Source organism: Homo sapiens, chromosome 20 (genome assembly GCF_000001405.40).
Source record: "Homo sapiens chromosome 20, GRCh38.p14 Primary Assembly".
Taxonomy (NCBI): Eukaryota; Metazoa; Chordata; class Mammalia; order Primates; family Hominidae; genus Homo; species Homo sapiens.
In genome coordinates, this window is record NC_000020.11 from 7,946,714 (window position 1) to 7,959,645 (window position 12,932).

Consider the following 12,932-nt stretch of genomic DNA (forward strand, 5'->3'; position numbering starts at 1 on the left):
TGTATTACTAGGTATTTCATTTCTTTTGTGGCTATTGTAAGTGGAATTGTGTTCTTGCTTTCACTCTCATCCTGGACATTGTTGATGTATAGAAATGTGACTTATTTTTATACGTTGATTTTGTATCGTGAAACCTTACTAAAGTCACTTATGAGTTCTAGGAGCCTTTTGGCAGAGCTTATAGGATTTTCTAGGCATAGAATTATATCATCAGTGAACACAGATAGTTTGATTACTTCTTTTCCTATTTGGGTGCCTTTTTTTTTTTTCTCTTGTTTGATTCCTCTGGCTAGGACTTCCAATGCTATGTTAAATAGACATGGTGAGAGTGGGGAATCTTTGTCTTGTTCCAGTTTTCAAGGGGAATGGTTTGAACTTTTGCCCATTAAGTATAATGTTGGCTGTGTGTTTGTCATAGATGGCTGTTATTATTTTGAGGTATTTTCCTTCAATACCTAATCTGTTAAGGGTTTTTGTCATAAAGTGATGTTACATTTTATCTCATGCTTTTTCTGCATGTATTGAGATAATCACATAGATTTTGCTTTTAATTGTATTTATGTGGTGAATCACATTTATTGATTTTTGCATGTATTTCCTACTTGATTGTGGTGTATGAACTTTTCGATGTGCTGCTGGGTACGGTTTGCTAATATTTCGTTGAGAATTTTTACATCTATGTTCATCAGTAATATTGGCCTGAACCTTTTTATTTCTGTTGTGTCTGTGCCAGATTTTGGTATCAGGCTGATTGTGCTTCACAGAATGAGTGAGGAGATTCTTCTCAATTTTTTTAATAGTTTCAGTAGGATTGGAATCAGTTCTTCTTTGCACATCTGGCAGAATTTGGCTGTGAAACCATCTGGTTCAGGTCTTTTATTTTCTTGGTATGTTCTTTATTACTCATTCAATTTCAGAAGCTGATATTGGTCTGTTCGGGGTTTCAATATCTTCCTAATTCAATCTCAGGAAATTGTGCGTTTCCACGAATTTATCCATTTCCTTTAGATATTCTAATTTGTGTGCAAAGAGTTGTGCATAGTAGTCTCTGAGGATCTTTTGTATTTCTGTATTTTTGTATTTTGTATTTCTGTAGTTGTAATATTGCCTCCGTTATTTCTGGTTATGCTTTTTTGGATCTTCTCTTTTTCTTTGTTAGTCTAGCTGGTAGTCAATCAATCTTTTTTTTTTTATTTTGAACAACCAACTCTTGGTTTCATTGATGTTTGTTTTGTTTGTATTTTTGCATCTCAATTTCATTAAGCTCTTCTCTAATTTAGCTCTTCTTTTCTTCTGCTAGATTTGAGTCTAGTTTATTCTCTTTTTTTCACTTCCTTTAGGTGTAGAGCTAGTCTGTTGATTTGAAATATTTCTAACTTCTTGATGAAGGCACTTAGGGCTATAAACTTTCCTCTTAACAATGCATTGGCTGCATCCCAGGGATTTTGCTAAGTTGTGTCCCTATTTTCATTAATTTCAAAGATTTTTTTTATTTCTGCCTTAATTTCAATGTTTACTCAGGAGTTATTCAGGAGCAAGTTGTTTAACCTCCATGTATTTCAGTGGTGTTGAGAGATTATCTTGATAATGATTTCTGGTTTTATTGCACATAGTCTGAGAGTGTGCATGGTGTGATTTCAATTCTTTGAATTTATTGAGACTGGCTTTACGACTGAGCATGTGGTCAACCTTAGAACATGTTCCATGTGCAGATGAGAAAAATATATATTCTGTGGTTGCTGGGTGGAGTGTTCTGTAGATGACTATTAGGTCCAACTGGTGAAGAGTTGACTTTTTCCAGAGTTTCTTTGTCGGTTTTCTCCCTTGATAATCTGTCTAACACTGTCAGTGGGGTATTGAAGTCTCCCCTATTAGTGTGGGGTTGCTAAGTCTTTTCTTAGACCAAGAACTTGCTTAATTAAACAGTGGGCTCCAGACTGGGTGCTTATATATGTATGATAGTTAAGGCTTCTTGTTGGATTGTACCCTTTATCTTTACGTAATGCCCTTCACTGTCCTTAATATTTATTGGCATAATGTCTGTTTTATCTGATGTAAGAATAGTGACTCCTACTCTTTTTTGTTTTCCATTTGCGTTGTAAACCTTTCTTCATCCTTTTACTTTGAGTCGTTGGTGTCATTACATGTGCAATGGGTCTTGTGAAGGACAACAGATGATTAGGTCTTATCATTTTATCCAGCCTGACACTCTATGTATTTTAAGTGGGGCATTTGGCATATTTGCATTTAATGTTAGTATTGATATGTGTGATTTTAATCCTGTCATCATGTTGTTAGCTGGTTGTTATGTAGACTTAATTGTGCAGTTGTTTTATAGTGCCTGTGGGCTATGTGCTTACACATGTTTTTGCGGCAGCAGGTATCATTCTTTTGATTCCATGTTTTGCACTCCCTAAGGGCCTCTTGTAAGACTGCTCTAATGAAATGTACTCTTTCAGCATTTGCTTATCTAAGAAGTATTTTATTTTTCCTTCACTTATGAAGCTTAGTTTGGTTGGATATGAAATTCTTGTTTGAAATTTCTTTTCTTTTAGGGCAGTGAAAATAGACCCCTAACCTCTTCTGGCTTGTAAGGTTTCTTCTGAGAGGTCTGCTTCTAGCCTGATGGGGTTCCTTCCATAAGTCACCTGCCCCTTCTCCCAGCTGCCTTTAAGATTTTTTTCTTTTGCATTGTCATTGGTGAATCTGATGACTGTGTGCCTTGGGGATGGTTATCTTGTATAGTATCTAGCTGAGGTTCTCTGTATTTCTTGGATTTGCATGTCAACTTCTTTAGAGAGATTAGGAACATTTTCACAAATTACCTCTTCATTAAATATATTTTCCAGGTTGTTCATTTCCTCTCTTTCTCTCTCAGGAATGCCAATGAGATGTAGATTTGTTCTCTTTACATAATCCCATATTTCTTGGAAGTTTTGTTCATCTTTCTTATTTCTTTCTTCTTTATATTTATCTGACTGAGTTGATTTGAAGAACTGGTCTTTGAACTCTGAGATTCTTGCCTCATCTTGTTCTTTTCTGCTGTTAATACTTACAACTGTTCAACGAATTCTTATAGTGAATTTTGCAGTTCAAGGAATTTAGTTTAGGTCTTTCTTGAAATGGCTACTTTGTCTTTCAACTCGAATCATTTTACTGGATTGCTTGGCTTCCTTGGATTGAGTTTTAACTTATTCCTGGATCTCAATGAGCTTCCTTGCCATCCAGATTTTGAATTCTATGTCTCTCTTTTCAGACTTTCACACTGGTTAAGAACCATTGCTGGAAAGCTAGTGGGCTCATTTGAAGGTAGGAGGACACTGACTTTTTGAATTGCCAGAGTTCTTACACTGATTCTTTTGTATCTGGGAGAGTTGATGTTCCTTTGACTGTGTTATACATTGAATATAGTCCATTGGCTTCATTTCTGGAAGTATTCAGAGAGCTAATGCTCTGTACAGGGTCTTTGTTGTTGAATTATTATAAATATTATGGCATCGATGAATGCAGGAACACTAGGTTTTTTGTCTTGAGTTGAGTTAGATAAGACATGAGCACCCATAAGAAGCTTAAATTAAAAAAAAAAATCCACTTTTTTTCTTTTTGTACTACTGCAGCCCAACAGTTGATTTGGTGTACCATCTTAGTAGGTAAATTCTGAAATGCAGTCCCCACATTGCTTAATCTCTTGGTGGGTAGAATGAAAACAGTGGTTGGAGATTAGAACAGCTTTTGTTAATTTGCAATGATTGCATTGTTAAAATATCTCACATTCTATCAGACACAATACATTCTTTAAAACTTCTCTCCAGGTCTCTGAAGTCAGATGCTAAAGAGGCACACCACAGCAAAACAAGTTCAGGTCTTTTCAAGCTGCTAAATGTTACATTTGCACACTCATTGCCCCCACTATCCCCACAAGTTTGGGAATCAGAATGGTAAACATCAATGCAAATGGCATCTGCTGGGTTCAGGCCCCCTCCTTCACCGTGGCCAGAAGAATAGGCTTTGGTGTTTTTGTGTTTTCTTGCCACTGGACTTAATAAAATCTTAACTTCTAATCCTCCCTAATATCCCAATAAAATCTGCAGAATAGGCAGGGTATGGTGGCTCACGCCTGTAATCCCAGCACTTTGGAGGCCGAGGCAGGCGGATCACCTGAGATCGGGAGTTCGAGACCAGCCTGACCAACATGGAGAAACCCCGTCTCTACTAAAAATACAAAAAAAATTATCTGGGCGTGGTGGCATACGCCTGTAATTCCAGCCACTTGGGAGGCTGGCACAGGAGAATTGCTTGAACCCTGAAGGCAGAAGTTGTGGTGAGCCAAGATGGCACCATTGCACTCTAGCCTGTGCAACAAGAGTGAAACTCCATCTCAAAAAAAAAAAAAGAAAACAAAACAAAATCTGCAGAATAATGTCCCGACATCTCCACAACCTTTGGATATTTTCCAAACCACAAGGCCATCTTGAGGAACTCTCTCCTGTTCCTTTCTCTCAAGGGTAACTAAGCACAACCTGGAAGGAAGCAATAAGAACTTCACATCCTCAACTGGATTTTTTTCATTATTTGTCACAGATGTAATTTATACTATTACATCTATTACTATTACACTGTTTAGAGAAATGTCATATTTCCTGTTTTTATCCTTTTAAGAGGCATTTTATTTTAAATGAGGGATAGAGTTTGGTTGAGTCTTAGTTATTTCCATCCTTCTAGACATTAGAAGAGGTTAAGTTGTCTCAAGCGCTAATGGCTGGGAGAAACGGGTATCCTGGACAGCTGGAAAGAGTGCCCCTTACAAGTATAAAAACCATTTCATAGTGGTTTTACTTTACATCCTTTTTTTTTAATACATGTGCACAACCTGCAGGTTTGTTACATATGTATACATGCGCCATGTTGGTGTGCTGCACCCATTAACTCATCATTTACATTAGGTATATCTCCTAATGCTATCCCTCCCCCCTCCCCCCACCCCATGACAAGCCCCAGTGTGTGATGTTCCCCACCCTGTGTCCAAGTGTTCTCATTGTTCAATTCCCACCTACGAGTGAGAACATGTGGTGTTTGGTTTCCTGTCCTTGCGATAGTTTGCTCAGAATGATGGTTTCCAGTTTCATCCATGTCCCTACAAAGGACATGAACTCTTCCTTTTTTATGGCTGCATAGTATTCCATGGTGTATATGTGCCACTTTTTCTTAATCCAGTCTATCATTGATGGACATTTGGGTTGGTTCCAAGTCTTTGCTGGTGTGAATAGTGCTGCAATAAACAGACGTGTGCATGTTTCTTTATAGTAGCATGATTTATAATCCTTTGGGTATATACCCAGTAATAGGATCACTGGGTCAAATGGTATTTCTAGTTCTAGATCCTTGAGGAATCGCCACACTGTCTTTCACAATGGTTGAACTAGTTTACAGTCCCACCAACAGTGTAAAAGTTTTCCTTTTTCTCCACATCCTCTCCAGCACCTGTTGTTTACTGACTTTTTAATGATTGCCATTCTAACTAGTGTGAGATGGTATCTCATTGTGGTTTTGATTTGTATTTCTCTAATGGCCAGTGATGATGAACATTTTTTCATGTGTCTGTTGGCTGCATAAATGTCTTCTTTTGAGAAGTGTCTGTTCATATCCTTTGCCCACTTTTTGATGAGGTTGTTTGATTCTTTCTTGTAAATTTGTTTAAGTTCTTTGTAGATTCTGAATATTAGCCCTTTGTCAGATGGGTAGATTGTGAAATTTTCTCCCATTCTGTAGGTTGCCTGTTCACTCTGATGGTAGTTTCTTTTGCTGTGCAGAAGCTCTTTAGTTTAATTAGATCCCATTTGTCTATTTCAGCTTTTGTTGCCATTGCTTTTGGTGTTTTACTCATCAAGCCCTTGCCCATGCCTAGGACCTGAATGGTATGGCCTAGGTTTTCTTCTAGGGTTTTTATGGTTATAGGTCTAACATTTAAGTCTTTAATCCATCTTGAATTAGTTTTTGTATAAGGTGTAAGGAAGGGATCCAATTTCAGCTTTCTACATATGGCTAGCCAGTTTTCCCAGCACCGTTTATTAAATAGGGAATCCTTTCCCCATTTCTTGTTTTTGTCAGGTTTGTCAAAGATCAGATGGCTGTAGATGTGTGGTATTATTTCTGAGGGCTCTGTTCTGTTCCATTGGTCTATATCTCTGTTTTGGTACCAGTACCATGCTGTTTTGCTTACTGCAGCCTTGTAATATAGTTTGAAGCCAGGTAGTGCGATGCCTCCAGCTTTGTTCTTTTGGCTTAGGATTGTCTTGGCAATGAGGGCTCTTTCTTGGTTCCATATGAACTTTAAAGTAGTTTTTTCCAATTCTGTGGAGAAAGTCATTGGTAGCTTGATGGGGATGGCATTGAATCTACAAATTACCTTAGGCAGTATGGCCATTTTCATGTTATTGATTCTTCCTATCAATGAGCATGGAATGTTCTTCCATTTGTTTGGGTACTCTTTTATTTCATTGAGCAGTGGTTTGTAGTTCTCCTTGAAGAGATCCTTCACATCCCTTGTAAGTTGGATTCCTAGCTCTTTTATTCTCTTTTTAGCAATTGTGAATGGGAGTTCACTCATGATTTGGCTCTCTGTTTGTCTGCTATTGGTGTACAGGAATGCTTGTGATTTTTGCACATTGATTTTGTATCCTGAGACTTTGCTGAAGTTGCTAATCAACTTAAGGAGATTTTGGGCTGAGACGATGGGGTTTTCTAAATATGCTATCATGACATCTGCAAACAGGGACAATTTGACTTCCTCATTTCCTAATCGAATACCCTTTATTTCTTTCTCCTGCCTTATTGCCCTGGCCAGAACTTCCAACCCTATGTTAAATAGGAGTGGGAAAGAGGGCATCCCTGTCTTGTGCCAGTTTTCAAAGGGAATGCTTCCAGTTTTTGCCCATTCAGTATGATATTGGCTGTGGGTTTGTCATAAATAGCTCTTATTATTTTGAGATACATCCCGTCAATACCTAGTTTATTGAGAGTTTTTAGCAGGAAGGGCTGTTGAAGTTTGTCAAAGGCCTTTTCTGCATCTATTGAGATAATCATGTGGATTTTGTCTTTGGTTCTGTTTATATGCTGGATTACGTTTATTGATTTGCATATGTTGAACCAGCCTTGCATCCCAGGGATTAAGCCAACTTGTTCATGGTGGATAAGCTTTTTGATGTGCTGCTGGATTCGGTTTGCCAGCATTTTATTGAGGATTTTTGCATCGATGTTCATCAGGGATATTGGTCTAAAATTCTCTTCTTTGGTTGCATCTCTGCCAGGCTTTGGTATCATGATGATGCTGGCCTCACAAAATGAGTTAGGGAGGATTCCCTCTTTTTCTGTTGATTGGAATAGTTTCAGAAGGAATGATACCAGCTCCTCTTTGTACCTCTGGTAGAATTCGGCTGTGAATCCTTCTGGTCCTGGACTTTTTTTGGTTGGTAGGCTATTAATTATTGCCTCAATTTCAGAGCCTGTTATTGGTCTATTCAGGGATTCAACTTCTTCCTGGTTTAGTCTTGGGAGGGTGTATGTGTCCAGGAATTTATCCATTTCTTCTAGATTGTCTAGTTTATTCATGTAAAGGTGTTTATAGTATTCTCTGATGGTAGTTTGTATTTCTGTGGGATCAGTGGTGATATCCCCTTTATCATTTTTTATTGCATCTATTTGATTATTCTCTCTTTTCTTCATTAGTCTGACTAGAGGTCTATCAATTTTGTTGATTATTTCAAAAAACCAGCTCCTGGATTCATTGATTTTTTGAAAGGTTTTTTTTGTGTCTCTATCTCCTTCAGTTCTGCACTGATCTTAGTTATTTCTTCTGCTAGCTTTTGAATGTATTTCCTCTTGCTTCTCTAGTTCTTTTAATTGTGATGTTAGGGTGTCAATTTTAGATCTTTCCTGCTTTCTCTTGTGGGCATTTAGTGCTATAAATTTCCCTCTACACACTGCTTTAAATGCGTCCCAGAGATTCCGGTATGTTGTGCCTTTGTTCTCATTGGTTTCAAAGAACATCTTTATTTCTGCCTTCATTTCGTTATGTACCCAGTAGTCATTCAGGAGCAGGTTGTTCAGTTTCCATGTAGTTGTGTGGTTTTGAGTGAGTTTCTTAATGCTGAGTTCTAATTTGATTGCACTGTGGTCTGAGAGACAGTTTGTTATGATTTCTGTTCTTTTACATTTGCTGAGGAGTGCTTCCAACTATGTGGTCAATTTTGGAATAGGTGTGGTGTGGTGCTGAAAAAAATGTATATTCTGTTGATTTGGGGTGGAGAATTCTGTAGATGTCTGTTAGGTCTGCTTTGTGCAGAGCTGAGTTCAAGTCCTGAATATCCTTCTTAACTTTCTGTCTCGTTGATCTGTCTAATGTTGACAGTAGGGTGTTAAAGTCTCCCATTATTATCGTGTGGGAGTTTAAGTCTCTTTGTAGGTCTCTAAGGACTTGCTTTATGAATCTGGGTGCTCCTGTATTGGGTGCATATATATTTAGGATAGTTAGCTCTTCTTGTTTAATTGATCCCTTTACCATTATGTAATGGCTTTCTTTGTCTCTTTTGATCTTTGTTGGTTTAAAGTCTGTTTTATCAGAGACTAGGATTGCAACCTCTGCCTTTTTTTCATTTTCCATTTCCTTGGTAGATCTTCTTCCATCCCTTTATTTTGAGCCTATGTGTGTCTCTGCACATGATACGGGTCTCCTGAATACAGCACACTGATGGGTCTTGACTCTGTATCCAATTTGCCAGTCTGTGTCTTTTAATGGGGGCATTTAGCCTATTTACATTTAAGGTTAATATTGTTATGTGAGAATTTGATCCTGTCATTATGATGTTAGCTGGTTATTTTGCTCATTAGTTGATGCAGTTTCTTCCTAGCATCGATGGTCTTTACAATTTGGCATGTTTTTGCAGTGGCTGGTACTGGTTTTTCCTTTCTATGTTTAGTGCTTCCTTCAGGAGCTCTTGTTAGGCAGACCTGGTGGTGACAAAATCTCTCAGCATTTGCTTGTCTGTAAAGGATTTTATTTCTCCTTCACTTATGAAGCTTAGTTTGGCTGGATATGAAATTCTGGGTTGAAAATTCTTTTCTTTAAGAATGTTGAATATTGGCCCCCACTCTCTTCTAGCTCGTAGAGTTTCTGCCGAGAGATCCACTGTTAGTTTGATGGGCTTCCCTTTGTGGGTAACCCGACCTTTCTCTCTGGCTGCTCTTAAAATTTTTTCCTTCATTTCAACCTTGGTGAATCTGACAATTATGTGTCTTGGGGTTGCTCTTCTCGAGGACTATCTTTGTGGTGTTCTCTGCATTTCCTGAATTTGCATGTTGGCCTGCCTTGCTAGGTTGGGGAAGTTCTCCTGGATAATATCCTGCAGAGTGTTTTCCAACTTGGTTCCATTCTCCCCGTCACTTTCAGGTACACCAATCAAATGTAGATTTGGTCTTTTCACATAGTCCTGTGGGGAAAAGAAAGAGAGATCAGATTATTACTGTCTCCGTGTAGAAAGAAGTAGACATAGGAGACTCCATTTTGTTCTGTACTAAGAAAAATTCTTCTGCCTTGAGATGCTGTTAATCTGTAACCTTACCCCCAACCCTGTGCTCCCTGAAACATGTGCTGTGTCAACTCAGGGTTAAATGGATTAAGGGCTGTGCAAGATGTGCTTTGTAAACAAATGCTTGAAGGCAGCATGCTCCTTAAGAGTCATCACCACTCCCTAATCTCAAGTACCCAGGGACACAAAACACTGCGGAAGTCCGCAGGGACCTCTGCCTAGGAAAGCCAGGTATTGTCCAAGGTTTCTTCCCATGTGATAGTCTGAAATACGGCCTCGTGGAAAGGGAAAGACCTGACCATCCCCCAGCCCGACACCCATAAAGGGTCTGTGCTGAGGAGGATTAGTAAAAGAGGAAGGAACGCCTCTTTGCAGTTGAGACAAGAGGAAGGCATCTGTCTCCTGCCCATCCCTGGGCAATGGAATGTCTCTTTGTAAAACCCGATTGTATATTCCATCTACTGAGATAGGGGAAAACCGCCTTAGGGCTGGAGTTGGGACACGCGGGCAGCAATACTGCTCTTTAAGGCATTGAGATGTTTATGTGTATACATAGCTAAAGCACAGCACTTAATTCTTTACCTTGTTTATGATGCAGAGACTTTTGTTCACGTTTTTACCTGCTGACCTTCTCTCCACTATTATCCTATGAACCTGCCACATCCCCCTGTCCAAGAAACACCCAATAATGATCAATAAATACTAAGGGAACTCAGAGGCTGGTGTGGATCCTCCGTATGCCGAATGCCGGTCCTCTGGGCCCCCTTTTTCTTTCTCTATATTTTGTCTCTGTGTCTCTTTCTTTTCCAAGTCTCTCATTCCACCTAACGAGAAACACCCACAGGTGTGGAGGGGCAACCCACCCATTCATAGTCCCATATTTCTTATAGGCTTTGTTCATTTCTTTTTACTCTTTTTTCTCTAAACTTCTCTTCTCGCTTCATTTTATTCATTTGATCTTCAATCACAGATACCCTTTCTTCCACTTGATCGAATCGGCTACTGAAGCTTGTGCATGCATCACGTTGTTCTCGTGCTATGGTTTTCAGCTCTATCAGGTCATTTAAGGTCTTCTCTATGCTGTTTATTCTAGTTAGCCATTCGTCTAATCTTTTTTCAAGGTTTTTAGCTTCCTTGTGATGGGTTCAACCGTCCTCCTTTAGCTCAGAGAATTTTGTTATTACTGATCTCCTGAAACCTACTTCTGTCAACTCATCAAAGTCATTTTCCATCCAGCTTTGTTCCATTGCTGGCAAGGAGCTGCGATCCTTTGGAGGAAAGGAGGCACTCTGGTTTTTAGAATTTTCAACTTTTCTGCTCAGATTTCTCCTCATCTTTGTGGTTTTATCTACCTTTGGTCTTTGATGATGGTGACCTAAAGATGGGGTTTTGGTGTGGATGTCCTTTTTGTTGATGTTGATGCTATTCCTTTCTGTTTGTTAGTTTTCCTTCTAACAGTCAGGACCCTCAGCTGCAGGTCTGTTGGAGTTGGCTGGAGGTCCACTCCAAACCCTGTTTTCCTGGGTATCATCAGCGGAGGCTGCGGAACAGCAAATATTGCAGAACAGCTAATGTTGCTGCCTGATCCTTCCTCTGGAAGCTTCGTCTCAGAGGGTCACCCAGCTGTATGAGGTGTCAGTCAGCTCCTACTGGGAGGTGTCTCCAAGTTAGGCTACTCGGGGGTCAGTGACCCACTTGAGGAGGCAGTCTATCTGTTCTCAGATCTCAACTCCATGCTAGGAGAACCACTGCTCTCTTCCAAGCTGTCAGACAGGGACGTTTAAGTCTGCAGAAGTTTCTGCTGCCTTTTGTTCAGCTATACCCTGCCCCCAGAGGTGGAGTCTACAGAGGCAGGCAGGTCTCCTTGAGCTGCAGTGGGCTCCATCCAGTTTGAGCTTCCCAGCTACTTTGTTTACCTAGTCAAGCCTCAGCAATCACAGACCCCCTACCCCAGCCTCACTGCAGCCTCACTGCTGCCTCACAGTTCGATCTCGGACTGCTGTGCTAGCAATGAGCAAGGCTCCATGGGCATGGGACCCACCAAGCCATGTGCGGGATATAATCTCCTGGTGTGCCATTTGCTAAGACTGTTGGAAAAGTGCAGTATTAGGGTGGGAGTGTCCCAATTTTCCAGGTACCGTGTGTGATGGCTTCCCTTAGCTAGGAAAGGGAATTCCCCAACCCCTTGCACTTTCCAGTTGAGGTGATGCCCCACCCTGCTTCGGCTCACACTCCGTAGGCAGCACCCACTGCCCAACCAGTCCCAGTGAGATGAACCTGGTACCTCAGTTGGAAATGCAGAAATCACCTGTCTTCTGTGTTGCTCACGCTGGGAGGTGTAGACAAGCTGTTCTTATTCGGCCATCTTGAAACAATCCTCACTTTATATCTTTTTATATGTTTATTGGCCTTTAATTTTTTCACTTTTTTGAAATGTCTTTAGCCTTTTTTTATATTACAGTTGTTGTTGTTATTGATTGATAGGCTTTCTTTATGCTTTTTTGGACATAGATCTTTGAGATTATATGTGTATGAGTTACATTTTTCCTAGGTTTACTTGTTTTCACACATGAATAATGCCAATGTCAGCCTCAAACCTGCCTAATTGAGAGCATGTGGTTGGTTTTTCTGGTTTTTTTCTCTTTCTTCCTCTCTCTCCCTCCCTCCCTTCCCTTTTATTTCATTCTTTCCTTACTTTTTCTCTCCTTGTTTTCATATTTACTTATTCACTCATTTATTTTTAAAGACAGGGTCTCACACTGTCACCCAGGTGGGAATGCAGTGGCACAATCGAAGCTCACTACAGCCTCAAACTCCTTTGTTCAAGCCACTCTCCCACCTCAGCCTCCTGCATAGCTAGGACTAAAGACACATGCCACCACAGTTGACTTGATTTTTGTTTTTTGTTTTTTTCTGGTAGACACAGGGTCTTGCTATGTTGCCTGGCCTACCTGGTCTCAAACTCCTAGCCTCAAGAGATCTTTCCACCTCTGCCTCCCAAAGTACTGGGATTACAAGCATGTACAACTGTGCCCCCCACTCTTCATCTTTAACTTAATGTTCTTTGTCTTCTTTTATTTCTTCTTCCCTTTTCTCTCCCTCCTCACCTTTATTTTCTTCTTCTTGTTCCTCTTTCTCTCTCACTCTGTCTTTCCATGTTGCAATCATAACCTAGTTCTAGATAGGCAAGTGGCCTTTAGCTAGATTTTTTAGGGTTTTGTTTTTGTTTTTGTTTTGTTTTTCTGGTTCATGCTTTAAATGTGTTGCCCTTTGAGGTCCTGGATTTAAGCCAGGCTGAATAGGTATGCCAGTGGTTACAAGCTTCTGGGAAAGATCTCCCTCTTTCAT

The 12,932-nt window shown here is 39.9% G+C and overlaps 1 annotated feature.

The window, feature by feature from the left end:
• Window positions 9,407-10,078: an enhancer, noted in NCBI's record as "NANOG hESC enhancer chr20:7936767-7937438 (GRCh37/hg19 assembly coordinates)". NCBI's record gives its function as "activates a minimal SCP1, AML or CMV promoter by ChIP-STARR-seq in naive H9 embryonic stem cells {active_cell/tissue: H9 hESC(naive)}" and the evidence as "EXISTENCE:reporter gene assay evidence [ECO:0000049][PMID:30033119]".